The sequence below is a fragment of the Homo sapiens genome, chromosome X (assembly GCF_000001405.40).
Source record: "Homo sapiens chromosome X, GRCh38.p14 Primary Assembly".
Taxonomy (NCBI): domain Eukaryota; kingdom Metazoa; phylum Chordata; class Mammalia; order Primates; family Hominidae; genus Homo; species Homo sapiens.
In genome coordinates this window covers 76,148,447-76,164,434 of record NC_000023.11, presented here as the reverse complement: position 1 = coordinate 76,164,434, position 15,988 = coordinate 76,148,447, and the positions used below count along the sequence as shown (strand labels likewise).

General features: G+C 42.9%; 1 annotated feature.

The window, feature by feature from the left end:
• Positions 15,454–15,988: an enhancer, noted in NCBI's record as "H3K27ac hESC enhancer chrX:75368282-75368816 (GRCh37/hg19 assembly coordinates)". NCBI's record gives its function as "activates a minimal SCP1, AML or CMV promoter by ChIP-STARR-seq in primed H9 embryonic stem cells {active_cell/tissue: H9 hESC(primed)}" and the evidence as "EXISTENCE:reporter gene assay evidence [ECO:0000049][PMID:30033119]".

The following is a 15,988-nucleotide window of genomic DNA, read 5'->3' as shown; positions in this document are numbered from 1 at the left end:
CCATTGCTTTTGGTGTTTTAGTCATGAAGTCTATGCCCATACCTATGTCCTAAGTGATATTGCCTAGGTTTTCTTCTAGGGTTTTTATGGTTTTAGGTCTTACATTTAAGTCTTTAAATCATTTGAGTTAATTTTTGTATAACGTGTAAGGAAAGGATCCAGTTTCAGCTTTCTGCGTATGGCTAGCCAGTTTTCCCAACACCATTTATTAAGTAGGGAATCCTTTCCCCGTTGCTTGTTTTGTCAGATTTGTCAAAGATCAGATGGCTGTACACATGTGGAGTTATTTCTGAGGCCTCTGTTCTGTTCCATTGGTCTATATATCTGTTTTGGTAGCAGTACCATGCTGTTTTGGTTAATGTAGCCTTATGGTATAGTTTGAAGTTAGGTAATGTGATGCCTCCAGCTTTGTTGTTTTTGCTTAGGATTGTCTTGGCTATACGGACTCTTTTTTGGTCCCATATGAAATTGAAAGTAGTTTTTTCCAATTCTGTGAAGACAGTCAATGGTAGCTTGATGGGCATAGCATTGAATCTATGAATTACTTTGGGCAATATGGCCATTTTGACGATATTGATTCTTCCTAGCCATGAGCATGGAATATTTTTACATTTGTTTGTGTCCTCTCTTATTTCCTTGAGCAGTGGTTTTTAGTTATCCTTATAAAGGTCCCTCACATTCATTGTGAGCTGTTTTCCTAGGTATTGTGTTCTCATTGTAGCAATTGTGAATTGGAGTTTACTCATGATTTGGCTCTCTGTTGATCTGCTATATTGGTGTATAGGAATGCTTGTGATTTTTGTACATGGATTTTGTATCCTGCCACTTTGCTGAAGTTGCTTATCAGCTTAAGGAGATTTTGGGCTGAGATGATGGGGTTTTCTAAATATACATTCATGGCATCTGCAAACAGGGACAATTTGACTTCCTCTTTTCCTAATCGAATACCCTTTATTTCTTTCTCTTGCCTAATTGCCCTGGCCAGAACTTCCAATACTATGTTGAATAGAATTGTTAAGAGAGGGCATCCTTATCTTGTGCTGCTTTTCAACAGGAATGTTTCCAGTTTTTGCCCATTCAGTATGATATTGGCTGTGGGTTTATCATAAATAGCTCTTATTATTTTGAGATATCTTCCATTAATACCTAGTTTATTGAAAGCTTTTAGCATGAAGGGCTGTTGAATTTTATGGAAGGCCTTTTCTGCATCTATTGAGATAATCATGTGGTTTTTGTCATTGGTTCTGTTTATGTGATGGATTACGTTTATTGATTTGCATATGTTGAACCAGCCTTGCAACCCCCGGGATGAAGTCAACTTGATCGTGTTGGATAAGCTTTTTGATGTGCTGCTGGATTCGGTTTGCCAGTACTTTATTGAGGATTTTTGCATCGATGTTCATCAGGGATATTGGCCTGAAATTTTCTTTTTTTGTTGTGTCTCTGCCAGGTTTTGGTATTGGGATGATGCTGGCCTCATAAAATGAGTTAGGGAGGATTCCCTCTTTTTCTATTGTTTGGAATATTTTCAGAAGGAATGGTACCAGCTCTTCTTTGTACCTCTGGTAGAATCTGGCTGTGAATCCGTCTGGTCCTGGACATTTTATGGTTATTAATTGCTACCTCAATTTCAGACCTTGTTATTGGTCTCTTCAGGGTTTCAACTTCTTCCTGGTTTAGTCATGGGAGAGTGTATGTTTCGAGGAACTTATCCATTTCTTCTAGATTTTCTAGTTTATTTGCATAGAAGTGTTTATAGTATTCTCTGATGGTAGTTTGTATTTCTGTGGGATTAGTGGTGATATCCCCTTTATAATTTTTATTGCATCTATTTGATTATTCTCTCTTTTTTTCTTTATTAGTCTGGCTAGTGGTCTATTTTTTTGGTCTTTTCAAAAAAACAGCTCCTGGATTCATTGATTTTTTGAAGGTTTTTTTGTGTCTCTATCTCCTTCACTTCTTTGACCTTAGTTATTTCTTAACTTCTGCTAGCTTTTGAATTTTTTGCTCCTGCTTCTCCAGTTCTTTTAAATGTGATGTTAGGGTGTTGATTTTAGATCTTTCCTGCTTGCTTTTATGGGCATTTAGTGCTATAAATTTCTCTCTAAACACTGTTTTAGCTGTGTCCCAGAGATTCTGGTACATTGTGTCTTTGTTCTCACTGTTTTCAATGAACATCTTTACTTCTGCCTTCATTTTGCTATTTACCCAGTAGTCATTCAGGAGCAAGTTGTTTAGTTTCCATGTAGTTGTGTGGTTTTGAGTGAGTTTCTTAATCCTACCTTCTAGTTTGATTGCACTGTGGTCTGAGAGACTGTTTGTTATGATTTCCGTTCTTTTGCATTTGCTGAGGGGTGTTTTACTTCCATTTATATGGTCAATGTTAGAATAAGTGCACGGTGGTGCTGAGAAGATGTATATTCTGTTGATTTGGGGTGGAGAGTTCTGTAGATGTATATTAGGTCTGCTTGGTCCAGAGGTGAGTTGAAGTCCTGGGTATTCTTGTTAATATTCTGTCTCATTGATCTTTCTAATATTGACATTGAGGTATTAAAGACTACCACTATTATTGTGTGGGAGTCTAAGTCTCTTTGTAGGTCTCTATGAACTTGCTTTATGAATCTGGGTGCTCCTGTATTGGGTGCATATATATTTAAGATAGTTAGCTCTTTTTATTGTATTGATCCCTTTACCATTATGTAATGCCCATCTTTGTCTTTTTTGGTCATTGTTGGTTTAAAGTCTGTTTTATCAGAGACTAGGATTGCAACCCCTGCTTTCCTTTTTGCTCTCCATTTGCTTGGTAAATATTCCTCCCTTCCTTTATTTTGAGCCTATGTGTATCTTTGCACGTGAGATGCATCTCCTGAATACAGCACACTGATGCTGTATTCTTGACTCTTTATCCAATTTGCCAGTCTGTGTCTTTTAATTAGGGCATTCAGCCCATTTACATTTAAGGTCAATATTGTTATGTGTAAATTTGATCCTGTCATTGTGATCCTAGCTGGTTATTTTGCCCACTAGTTGATGCAGTTTCTTCATAGTGTCGATAGTCGTTACAATTTGGTATGTTTTTGTAGTGACTGGTACCGGTTGATCCTTTCCATGTTTAGTGCTTTCTTCAGGAGCTCTTGTAAGGCAGGCCAGGTGGTGACAAAATCTCTCAGCATTTGCTTGTCTGTAAAGGATTTTATTTCTCCTTCACTTATGAAGCTTAGTTTGGCTGGACATGAAATTCTGGGTTGTAAATTCTTTTCTTTAAGAATGTTGAATATTGGCCCCCACTCTCTTCTGGCTTGTAGGGTTTCTGCCAAGAGATCCACTGTTAGTCTTATGGGTTTCCCTTTGGGGGTAGCCCAACCTTTCTTTCTGGCTGCCCTTAGTAGTATTTTATTCCTTCATTTCAACCTTGGTGAACCTGACAATTACGTGTCTTGGGGTTGCTCTTCTTGAAGACTATCTTTGTGGTGTTCTCTGTATTTCCTGAATTTGATTGTTGGCCTGCCTTGCTAGGTTGGGGAAGTTCTCCTGGATAATATCCTGAGGAGTGTTTTCCAACTTGGTTTCATTCTTCCTGTCATTTTCAGGTACACTAATCAAACACAAACTTGGTCTTTTCACATAGTCCCATGTTTCTTGAGGGCTTTGTTTCTTTTCACTCTTCTTCCTCTAATCTTGTCTTCTCACTTTATTTCTTTGAGTTGATCTTCAATCTCTGCTATCTTTCCTTCTGCTTGATCGAATCAGCTGTTGATTCTTGTGTATGCTTCACAAAGCTCTTGTGCTGTGTTTTTCAACTCCATCAGGTCATTTATATTCTTCTCTAAACTGGTTATTGTGGTTAGCAATTCGTCTATCCTTTTTAAAGGTTCTTAGCTTCCTTGCATTGGGTTAGAGCATGCTCCTTTAGCTCGGAGGAGTTTGTTATTAACTACCTTCTGAAGCCTACTTCTATTAATTTATCAAACTCATTCTCCATCCAGTTTTGTTCCCTTGCTGGAGAGGAGCTGTGATCCTTTGGAGGAGAAGAGGCGTTCTGGTTTTTGGAATTTTCAGCCTTTTTATTCTGATTTCTCCCCATCTTTGTGGATTTATGTACCTTTGGTCTTTGAAGTCAGTGACCTTCTGCTGGGGTCTCTGAATTGATGTCCTTTTCGTTTATGATGATACTATTCCTTTCTCTTTATTAGTTTTCCTTCTGACAGTCAGGCCCCTCTGCTGCAGGTCTGCTGGAGTTTGCTGGAGGTCCACTCCAGACCCTGTTTGCCTGGTTATCACCAGCGGAGGCTGCAGAACAGCAAAGATTGCTGTCTGTTCCTTCCTCTGTAAGCTTCTTCCTAGAGGGACACCTGCCAGATGCCAGCCAGAGCTCTCCTGTTTGAGGTGGTGCTCCTACTGTGAGGTGCCTCCTAGTCAGGATACATGGGGGTCAGGGACCCACTTGAGGAGGTAGTCTGTCCCTTATCAGAGCTCGAACACTGTGCTGGGAAATCCGCTGCTCTCTTCAGAGCTGCCAGGTAGGGACGTTTAAGTCTGCTGAAGCTGTGCCCCCAACCGCCCCTTCCCCCAGGTGCTCTGTCTCAGGGAGGTGGGTGTTTTATCTATAAGTCCCTGAATGGGGCTGCTGCCTTGTTTTCAGAGATGCCCTGCCCAGAGAGGAGGGAATCTGGAGAGGCAGTCTGGCTGCAGTGGCCTTGCTGAGTGAGGTGTGGTGGGCTCTGCCCAGATGGAATTTCTAGGCGGCTTTGTTTACACTGTGAGGGTGAAACCATCTACTCAGGCGTCAGCAATGGCAGACGCCCTTCCCCCCACCAAGCTGGAGCATCCCAGGTCGAGCTCAGACTGCTGTGGTAGCAGCGAGAATTTCAAGCCAGTGGATCTTAGCTTGCTGGGTTCCGTGGGGGTAGGACCCACCGAGCCAGACCACTTGGATCCCTGGCTTCAGCCCCCTTTCCAGGGGAGTGAACGGTTCTGTCTTGCTGGCGTTCCAGGTGCCACTGGGGTATGAAAAACTTCTGCGGCTAGCTCAGTGTCTGCCCAAATGGCCGCCCAGTTTTGTGCTGGAAACCCAGGGCCTTGGTGGTGTGGGCACCAGAGTGAATCTCCTGGTCTGTGGGTTGCCAAGACTGTGGGAAAAGCACAGTATCTGGGCCTAAGTGCAAAGTACAGTCCCTAATGACTTCCCTTGGCTAGGAGAGGGAGCTCCCGGACCCCTTGCGCTTCCCTGGTGAGGCAACACCCCACTCTGCTTTGGCTCACCCTCCTTGGGCTGCACCCACTGTTCAACCAGTCCCAGTGAGATGAACTGGGTACCTTAGTGGGAAATGTAAAAATCACCCACCTTCTGCATTGATCTCGCTGGGAGCTGCAGACTGGAGGTGTTCTTATTTGGCCATCTTGCCAGCCAGGGCTCCAGTGTTCCTTATTTCTTACATACGCTATATACCCCATGAAATTTGTCATTTAATCCCCCATATTTGTTGATCGCCTACTCAGAGCTATGTCCATATGTGTCTAAGACCTAGACATGTAGTGATGAAAAATGCACAGTACCCTCTTATAATGCACTCATCCTAGTGAGATATATTGTTATACTAAAACTGACCATTACCAAAAAAAAAAAAAAGACAGTAGTAATTATAATGATAGTGATTCCAAGGAATAGCACAGTGGCTGACACATATTAGAGGAGTGCCATGACTTTTTGTTGCATGAATGGATTAATGACAATACATTCAAAGCATTACTGGAAGACAAAGACATGAAAACTATCCTGTGACCATGCTGGAAGGCGCTTGACTCCTGAAGTGAATACATCTTAAGGTTAAGGTTAAAATCTCCTGACACATTAAGTTCCCATGAAAACCTTAGCAATTGCCACTTTTGATTGAATGTCTTCCATAGGTAAGGGTACAGAAATAATTATTGTTAACTGCTGAGTATGGATCACATAAGACTCAGACTGTCCCATACCAGTCTGTGTTAGTATATGAGTATGTGTGTGCACATATGTACATATGCATGTGCATGAATGCATTTAAGAAAAAGAGTGGGTCGGGTGTGGTGGTTCATGCCTGTAATCCCAGCAGTTTGGGAGGCCAGGATGGGTGGATCGCTTGAGCTCAGGAGTTCGAGACCAGCCTGGGCAACAGGGCAAAACTCCGTCTCTACTAACAATACAAAAAATTAGCTGGGCGTGGTGGTTCCAGCTACGTGGGAGGCTGAGGCGGGAGGATCACCTGAGCCTGGGAGGTGGAGGTTGCAGTGAACCAAGATCATGCCACTGCACTTCAGCCTGGGTGACAGAGTGAGACCCAATCTCAAAAAAAAAAAAAAAAAAAAAAAGAGAGAGAGAGAGAGAAAAGAAAAAGAAAAAGAGTGACACCTCTCCAACTATACCAGGGGCAGTACAAATGATCTGGAATCAGGATAGATTTAAATTCACCTCCTCCTTGGAAGTTACCAACCTTACTCTCATAGTTTCAGGGCCATGATGGTTTGTGGTTAAAGTTATGTCATCTTTTATTTCGGAGGTAACTGAGTTTTATTATCTATGTGAACTTAGGCAAGTCTCTTAAATGCAGAGTCTTGGCTTCTTCACTTTGAAAGTGAAGATTACAGACACATTTGACTTATGTGCTTATTTCAATGATGGAATTATATAAGACATGAATGTATGAGCTCTTAGCACAGGGACTAGAATACAGCAAATGCTCAGTAAATTATAGATTATTCAGAATGCCATGGACTTTCCAGACATAGCTCAGGTTTAAGCTCTAAGATTATTTTCTGCAAAGGTTATTTTGCTCCACATCTGCTAAGGGAGATACCTAGGTTGAGCATGGGGGAGAAATAGGCATATGTTAGCCCTAGTACTTGTGGGTCCAGCTGCAACTCCTTGATACTGTGGTGAGTTGGGGCTATCACACTGGATGTGCACTGACCTCAGACATGCCCATCTCTTTGCAGTGCATCATAGGCTTTCCCCAAGGGAAGTTCTGAAAGCCCCACTCAGAAAGCACAACACCAGGATGTTATAGACAAGACTTTGAACTTTAGAGGCAGGTAGCTCTGGATTTTAAAGAGGAAAATGAACTGAGCCCATGCTTTTTCTCTATATATCGTCCCTGTTTTCTCCTTCCCTTCATTGGCTTTGTTTACTCTGTCTCAATGCTTCCTTTCTTCCTTCTTTCTTGTTTTACTTTCTTATAGTCACAGAGCAATTTTTCATAGAAACATAAAACATTTTTAAATACTATTAACACTTGGTAATTCAAGCCCCATCTTTAAATTTTCTCAGCTAGAAATGTAGAAAAGTTTCTGCCTCCGTTGTGCTTTTTTTCTAACTAATCAGAACAATTTGGTCATTTAGGAATTGGACTAATTTTTCACTCAGAATTGTCTGAAACTTTTCTCACACCCATAATTCAGATCTCCTTTGTCATTCCATTCCATTCTCAGGTAAGGATATGGCACTGTATGTCAGAATATAACATCAAGCCTTCCTCTGTCTAAGCCTGGTGATAACATTGGTGGCCATCACACCCTGGCTGGGGCTACTAAGCATATTGCTGCAGAGCTCACTAGGTGAGCAGCCAGAGGAGAGATAGGAATGAGAGTAGTGATGAGCTTTTCCTGCTAACTTGGTATTTACTCTGTTCTGATTCAGACACATCTACAGGATAATTCAGGGCTCTGGACCAAGGAATAACCAGACATCTCTAAGAATGGCTCCTTGGTGCTGGTGGCACAAGAGTAACCTTTGTTTTGACCACCGGCCCACCAGTTGCACTGACCAACTGCTTTCAGATGGAGTTATTTAGGCTGTGCCAAGTGACTTGCACTGTTTCTGAACTCATAAATATAACTTGCAGCCCTCACTGGATTCATATTTGATCCCATGGGAGCTGGGCAAAGGAGACACACCTGAGAAGGCAATGTAGTCCTCTCTTCAAAATCACCACTTTCCTCAAATAGCCACAGTGTTACGTAGTTGGCCAAGCTGAGCTTCCCGGATATTACTTCCTAAGGATGTCATTTTCTAGTACCCTTTTTAGTCCCCAAATCAAAGAGTTATCTGATAGAAAAGAAATAGTATCTCACCATGATTAAAATTTTTATTACCTGATTAACTTTGATATTAAGTATCTTTTTCTGTGAAAGATGGGTGGGCGAAAGAAAACAGGAAAGTCATTTATGATAGTAACCACACATACCCAACAATACCTGAAATGTAGCAAGTGACACCATTTAATATCATCATAGTAGCATGCATACAACATTATTTTACTCCCATAGAAAAGAGTCAATTGGGAAGTAAACTAAAGAACTAAGAGTCATTATACATTGGTTGTAGAATTATGGCAACTTTTTCATTTATTGTGAAAACCTTCCCCTACTTTCCAAGTTTTCTCAAGTAAGGATTTCAAGTGCATATGGTGGGTTAAATATAACAACAAAATCTGGAATGAAGGGCTGGCATTACTGGTGAGAAAAGATTGAGTAAGCTGGCTCCAGAAGCATTGCCTGAGGGCATTCACTGAGGTAAAAGGAAGCAAGGGAAGCTTTCTGGGCCTTAACACTGAAATGCAGATAATTATTTATGATCTTTAATCTATCTTTACCCCAAGGCCACCTGGTGCACCTGTACACTGATGAAATCCTATAATGTGTATACAAGAAGGCTGCATTTCTAAGGGGTTACTTGTTGGAAAATTTTTACTTGACAAGGGCGGTTTTCAAGTGGTTCTATAAATGAGCCCAATAGGCAGGATTTTTCTTTCCTTTTATTTTTTCTTTCTTTATTTTATTTTATTTTACATTAAGTTCTGGGATACCTGTGCAGAACATGCAGGTTTGTGATATGGTATACATGTGCCATGGTGGTTTGCTGCACCCATCAACCCCTTGTCTAGGTGTTAAGCCCCGCATGCATTAGGTATTTGTCCTAATGCTCTCCCTCCCCTTGTCCCCCACCCCCGACAGGCCCTGGTGCATGATATTCCACTCGCTGTGTCCATGTGTTCTCATTGTTCAACTCCCACTTATGAGTGAGAACATGCGGTGTTTGGTTTTCTGTTCCTGTGTTAGTTTGCTGAGAATGATGGCTTCCAGCTTCATCCATGTTCCTGCAAAGGACATGAACCCATTCTTTTTTATGGCTGCATAGTATTCCATAGCATGTATGTGCCACATTTTCTTTATCCAGTCTATCATTGATGGGCATTTGGGTTGGTTCCAAGTCTTTGCTATTGTGAACAGTGCCGCAATAAACAAACGTGTGCATGTGTCTTTATAGTAGAATGATTTATAATCCTTTGGGTGTATACTCAGTAATGGGATGCCTGTGTCAAATGGTATTTCTGGTTCTAGATCCTTGAGGAATTGCCACATTGTCTTCCACAATGGTTAAACTAATGTACACTCCCATCAACAGTGGAAAAGCGTTCCTATTTCTCCATAGCCTCACCAGCATGTGTTGCTTCTTGACTTTTTAATGATCGCCATTCTAAGTGGCGTGAGATAATATCTCATTGTGGTTTGATTTGCATTTCTCTAATGACCAGTGGTGATGAGCTTTTTTTCATATGTTCGTTGGCTGCATAAATGTCTTCTTTTGAGAAGTGTCTGTTCATATCCTTTTCCCACTTTTTGATGGAGTTGTTTTTTTCTTTTAAATTTGTTTAAGTTCCTTGTAGATTCTGGATATTAGACCTTTGTCAGATGGATAGATTGCAGAAATTTTCTCCCATTGTGTAGGTTGCCTGTGCACTCTGATGGCAGTTTCTTTTGCTGTGCAGAAGTTGTTTAGTTTAATTATATTCCATTTGTCAATTTTGGCTTTTGTTGCAATTGCTTTTGGCATTTTAGTCATAAAGTATTTGCCCTTGCCTGTGTCCTGAATGGTATTGCCTAGGTATGTTTCTAGGGTTTTTATGGTTTTAACTTTTACCTTTAAGGGTTTAATCCATCTTGAGTTAATTTTTGTGTAAGGTATAAGGAAGGGGTCCAGTTTCTGTTTTCTGCATATGGCTAGCCAGTTTTCCTAGATTTTTGTTCTAAACGCTTTTTATTCCTTTTTATTTTTATTTATTAAATAGGGAATTGTTTCCTCATAGCTTGTTTTTGTCAGGTTTGTCGAAGATCAGATAGTTGTAGACGTGTGGTGTCAATAGGCTGGATTTTTCAAGATAGTGATGTCTTAGAAATGTCACAATGCCCCTGAAAATATAGCCATTGGTATATTTAATACTCCATTTCTAAAACCCAGATTAGGTTGCTGGAGATATTACAAATAGGGAGTAAACAGTCAAAACAGGTTAGTCAGGAGAAAGGGACTGTGAATGTGACCGGGGTAAGGTATCTGAGCTACCACCAGCAGCGAATCCAGACACGGGTCTGCAGCAACCTTAATTCTTGCCTTCTCAGAAGAAAGAATTCCACTGAGAGGCAGAAGGCAGAAAAAGAGACCGAGGCAAGTTTCAGAGCAGGAGTGGAAATTTATTTAAAAAGCGTTTAGAACATAAAAGAAAGTACACTTGGAAGAGGCCCAAGCGGGCATATGAAGCTCAAGTGTGGTGTTTAACCTTGATCCTGGAACTTCATAGACTGGCTCATTTCCCATGATTCTTCCCATGGGTACTGTGCTGCCCCATGCACAGTACCCTCCTTACCCTTGGGAGGTGAGCATGCACAGTGGGTTTAGGAAGTTGTATGGATTCCCGCCTGAGGCTTTCTTCACTTTTCTGGTGAAGTGTCAATAGGAAGGTCATACTCCGTCATTTTGTGTCTTAATTCACATGCTTGAGCTCACTCCCACAATGCTTGAGCTCAGTCCCACAATACTTGATTTTATTGGAAGCTCTTTTTGTTTCTACCTGGCATTCAGTTAACCACGTTAATGTTAACAGCTGTAGATCAGCAGGAGATTATCTCTCCCTGACTCCAGGTGCCAAAGTACCATTTTTAGACAGGCAATGTGATAATTGTTGAACCATCACCCGATCACGTGACATTCCCGGTGGGTGTTGGGGAAAAGGACTCTCCTGCCCCTCTCATGTGTGTCTAACTACATGTAACATGAAAGTGTGTTGGAATCAGATGCAAAGAGAAAAGCAGAGATGAATGGCTACCGGTAGGTAGTTTAACACATTTTTTTTTCCAGCAGGCAATATAAATATGCTAAGATGAAAGGCACTTGTCATCACCAATCTAATGGGCTCAACTGGGACAAGTGATTGCATTTTTCTTCTCAAATGGTGGGCTACATAACAAGAATTTAGCATTAGACAGGTATGCCAGTGTTGCTGCTAGTGGAAAGTGCACCAATATACATGCTACTCCAGGATAAGGTTGGCAGATATGCTTTGGTCAAACACTGGCATGCACAAGGGACGAACAAACAAACGTAGACAGCCGTCATATCTTGCCATCAAGAACAAGATTTAAGAAAAGACCTGTGGCCGTGGTCATGTATGATGTAGCTCAATCACCCCAGAAACAGAAGATGTTATTAAAAGTATAAGCTGATTCCAGTTTGGCTCTGGCAGAGTGAGGGCAGAAGAGAGGACAACATGTTGGAGGGGAAGCCAGAGAGTTAACCAGAGATTAAATCCTGTTGGCTCTTACCGGACAAGGACTGGGCTTTTACTCTGAGTGAGATCAGAAGCCATTGCTGGGCTGGGACCGGAGGAGATACACAGCTCACAAAACACATCAATACAGAGAATTCAAACTTCTGAAAAACATATTGGATGAAGAAATGAAGTCCAAATTAAAATGAGGAAGTCCAGTCAGATGACGAACTTGAACACAAAGAGCAAGCCATTGAGCACTAGTTGGCCACAGATGTGGATTTAAGTTTTCTAGCTGCCAAAATGTAAAGAGGGAAACACGATCCTCTGCAGGACTCAACAGTATCCCTGAGATCGAATCTGACAAACTGCTCAGAAGGGGCACCTATGCTTTTCCCTGAGATGAATGTCTCCCATCGTCAGATGTCAGATTCTGGATCTATTTTGACAAGAGAGCTCAAAGGATTTCTTCACAGATGGAAATGAGGGGTGAGTAAAACAGTGGCGTGAAGGATCACCCTCAAGTCTATAGCATGAACAATTGGAAGGATAAGAGTGGCCTTAACTGTGAGGGGTGGGGCGAGGGGGGACGCTGCAGTGGGAGGAGGTTTCTAGGGGAAGATGGGAGAGTTCGATTTTTGACTTGTTAATTTGGGTTGACTCTCAGGCAATTTTCTCAGCGAATTAGAAAGGAAGGTCAGAGGCTGAATGTGAGGAGTCGGGAGGCAGTGTTGGAGGCTTGCAGAGAGAAAATAAGTTGTGAAATAGAAGGGTGAACGGAGACGAAGGCTTGAGAGAAATGAGTAGTTGGAAGATTTGGACTACAAACCTGGCAGAAAGATGTTTTGGTTTAAATGGATAGGGACCCTGGGTGTTTCCAGATCAGACAATGTTCATTCTTTATGATCCAGCCAGAAAACTGTGGCTTTTGCTAGCCTTTCCCACCTCTGAACACAGGTTTCCCCTTGCTGGTGAGGGTGGCGTGGAGAGATCCGAGTGAGGAAATAAGTTGTCAGTGTTTACGCTTATTTCTTCAGTCATGCTGAAGAGGCGGATAGGCCTAATACATAATAGGATAGAACACAATCCACCCGGACTTCCGCCTTATGCACAACTGCACTTTCAGTTTTGCTCAGAGAGATAGAGCTCACACAATTAGGTAATTGGGCCCAAATCTGAAAGTGAGAAACAGGCCAGAAAGGACACTCAGAGGATGAAAAGGGAAACCAGTAAGCCCCACTGTTTTATACACCGTTGTCATCATGGTTTTAACTTCATGCTGAGACATAGAATTCCTTAAACTATCACAGCCCTGGTCACTTGTGCCAATTCTACAAGGCCTCCAAAACCGCATAGGAGATACTGCACCGTGGGCCCATTCCAAACACTTATTCAGAATTAAAATTCCACTGGCTTTCCATTGATAGCACTAGAGGTCTGTCTGTGACACGCTGCTCCATTACAGCAAAGCAAAGCCCCATAATGACCTAATCCAGAAGGATAAGATCCCAGGACCCATAGAACAAGGAGGCCAGAGGGAAGGCAGGCCACAAAGAAGAAGGAAACCAGACTTCCCCATCCCTCTGGGCTCCTGGGGGGGTCAGTGGAAAAAGGCCTTTAACCTAAGTGCTCAAGGCCCTAACCTAACAGCTTTTGTTTTTCACGCTGGAGCGCTGGCACTTCCTGACCCCGCTTAGTCCTTCTATTAGAATTTTGTACTCTGATGCTAGTTTTCAGAGTATAGGAGCAACTGCAGGGAATGAAGCAGCAGACCTATCAATATTTTGTGGTGATCTAAGTCTCTGTTAATAAGCCTGAGACAAGGCAAAACCAGGAAGAAGCCTTGACCCTTATCAAGGTCATCAAAGCCATACAGGACCCTTCCTAATGTCTTCAACTGTCATTTTTGAAAGAAGCCGAGTCTGACCACCAAGTATAAATGGGTATAACATCCACCGCATTTCTTTGTCATATTGTTACAGGAAAGGGGTCTTGATCCAGACCCCAAGAGAGGGTTCTTGGATCTCGCGCAAGAAATAATTCAGGGCGAGTTCACAGTGCAAAGCAAAAGCAAGTTTATTGAGAAAGCACAGTGGTGAAAGGGCAGCTACTCCATAGACAGAGTAGGACGTTCCCAAAAGTAAGAGGAGGAATGCGTCCACCCTAGGTACAATGCTTGTTATATGAGGAGATGTGCTCTGCTACAAGGGTTTGTGATAGAGGATTAATTTTCTTAATTACTATGTTTTGCAAGAATCAGTGTTGTTATCTTTAAGGCAAAATTAGGAATGCCTTTCTTCTCCAGATATCGGAATATCTGGACACTCCCAAGTCTGGGTCTGTTTAGTAAACGTTATTAATTTGTTCCCTTAACCGTAAACATCTAGAGGCTGGGAATACCTAACTTTCTGGGAATGCAGCCCAGCAAGCCTCAGCTTCATTTTCCTAGCCCTCACTCGGAATGGAGTCGCTCTGGTTCAAACGCCTCTGACAATATCACCCCGTTTTATTTTCTATCACTTACCACTATCTGAAATTAAGTAGATAATTTGTTTACTCTCTGTCCCCACCCACTAGAATGAGAACGCGGCCCTTGCATCCTTACGTGTGTCTGGCATATAAGGGGTGCTCAATGATTATTTGTTTCATGGATGAACAGATTTATGGATGGCTGGGTGGATGACGATCTTAGAAGGGGTTCCAGGGCTAGCTGGCTTTCTGTTTCTCCCACTCAAGCACCCAAGCCCTGACCCACAAAGTAAAGGAACAGGCGAAACTTCTCGCCAAATAGCTTCAAGGCAGAAACTACGCAGCTGGCTTGGGAATTCCGTACAACGCGAACGCGCATGCACAGGCAGGACTGAGCGTGTCCATCTTCGCATTACTCCCGGAGATGACTCTCGGAAACGGTCCGAGGACTAACGTCTTTCTCTTCCTCGCCCTCATTCCTCCCAGTAACGTCCGCTACAAAAGAAACCGTGCACAAAATAAACTCGGGCGGCGGGTAGAAAGGAGACAGCCGAATTCCCTACACCCATGATCAACACGCCCACACCTCCCATCAGGCACGGCGCTCCCGCCTCCCCGAAGAGGCGGTGGAACGTGGTGGTGGGGGGGGTGCTGGGGGAGGGCTGGCGGGGGGAGGGCCGGGGGAAGGAGCGGGGCGGGAACGTCCTTCTGCTACTGCTATGGCTTCCGGGGCAGCACTTCGGCAGACCGCCCGCCTCCCAGTTGCAAATCGACTTCCGGGGCACCCCCACCGGCTGCCCGGTGGGTTCTCTGCTCGAACTTCTGGCGCTTTTCCCTTCCCGTTTATCTTGTTCAGGTCCCTCAGTGGACTGCTCCAGATCTAAAGAGCAGAAATTGGGCCGCAAAGAGAACGTCCTCCCAGACTTTCTCCGTCGCGGTGAAATTATGCCCGTTTGGTGGCAGTATGTATTCACAGATGCGTGCAGCTCTGCTCTTACCCCGCCCTTCGCGTTTAGAAAAAAAGCGCCGTTCCTCAGAGTCAAAACAAAGTTTCTTTCCGCTGTAGAGGCACAGCTTTTAGGGTGGCCTACTAACTCCCGCTTTTTCTTTTCTGAAATCTCTGTGCCAATCTGATGGACAGAAGAGCGACAAAAAATATTTTTAACGTGAGATTCTTTGTTGACTAGCCTGCTTGTAAACTTTCTGACATATGCCTTTTTTTTTTTTTTTTTTTCCATAGGGCTGTGAACCCCTGATATCTGAGAGGTGTCTCAGTCAATTTAGAAAGTTTATTTTGCCAACGTTAAGGACCCGCCCATGACAGCCTCAGGAGGTCCTGACGACACGTGCCCAAGGTGGTCAGGGCACAGCCTGCTTCCATACATTTTAGTGAGACATGAAACATCAATCATTTTATGTAAGATGTAAAGTGGTTCGGTCGGGGAAGGATCTTGTGCTGTGAGAGGATTTGACCTTGGCGTGTGTAATGGTAGATGAGAGCTACAAAATTACAAGTGGCTGAAGACAGTTTACAGGAAATGGTCATAGCTGCCCCTCTCTTTTTTCCCCTCTTAGGAAGTTATTGTTTAGGATCCGAATTCTAATTTGGAGATGCATTCTACAGTGTCTTCTCCATTGCTTTTCCTCCCCAAATTAATCTTGTTGTTTTGTGTGTGCATCTGCGTGAAGAGCTGTACTGTTGTTTTCATAGATACATGAGAGACTGTTTCCTGACCTCCAAAGGGAAAGGGCATTTTGCTCTTCCCAGCAGAAAGGCACCCCTGGGTGACTTGGAGCCCAGTGGGAGTGTCTGGGGGTGTTGACCCCCGTGACAACCAGCAGCCCTACAGGGAACCTACAACAAAATAGTTTTAAAAAGCTCATCCAGGAAATGCCTATTAGAGCTGATCACTTTGCTTTGACCCTCCCATAGGTGCTAGACC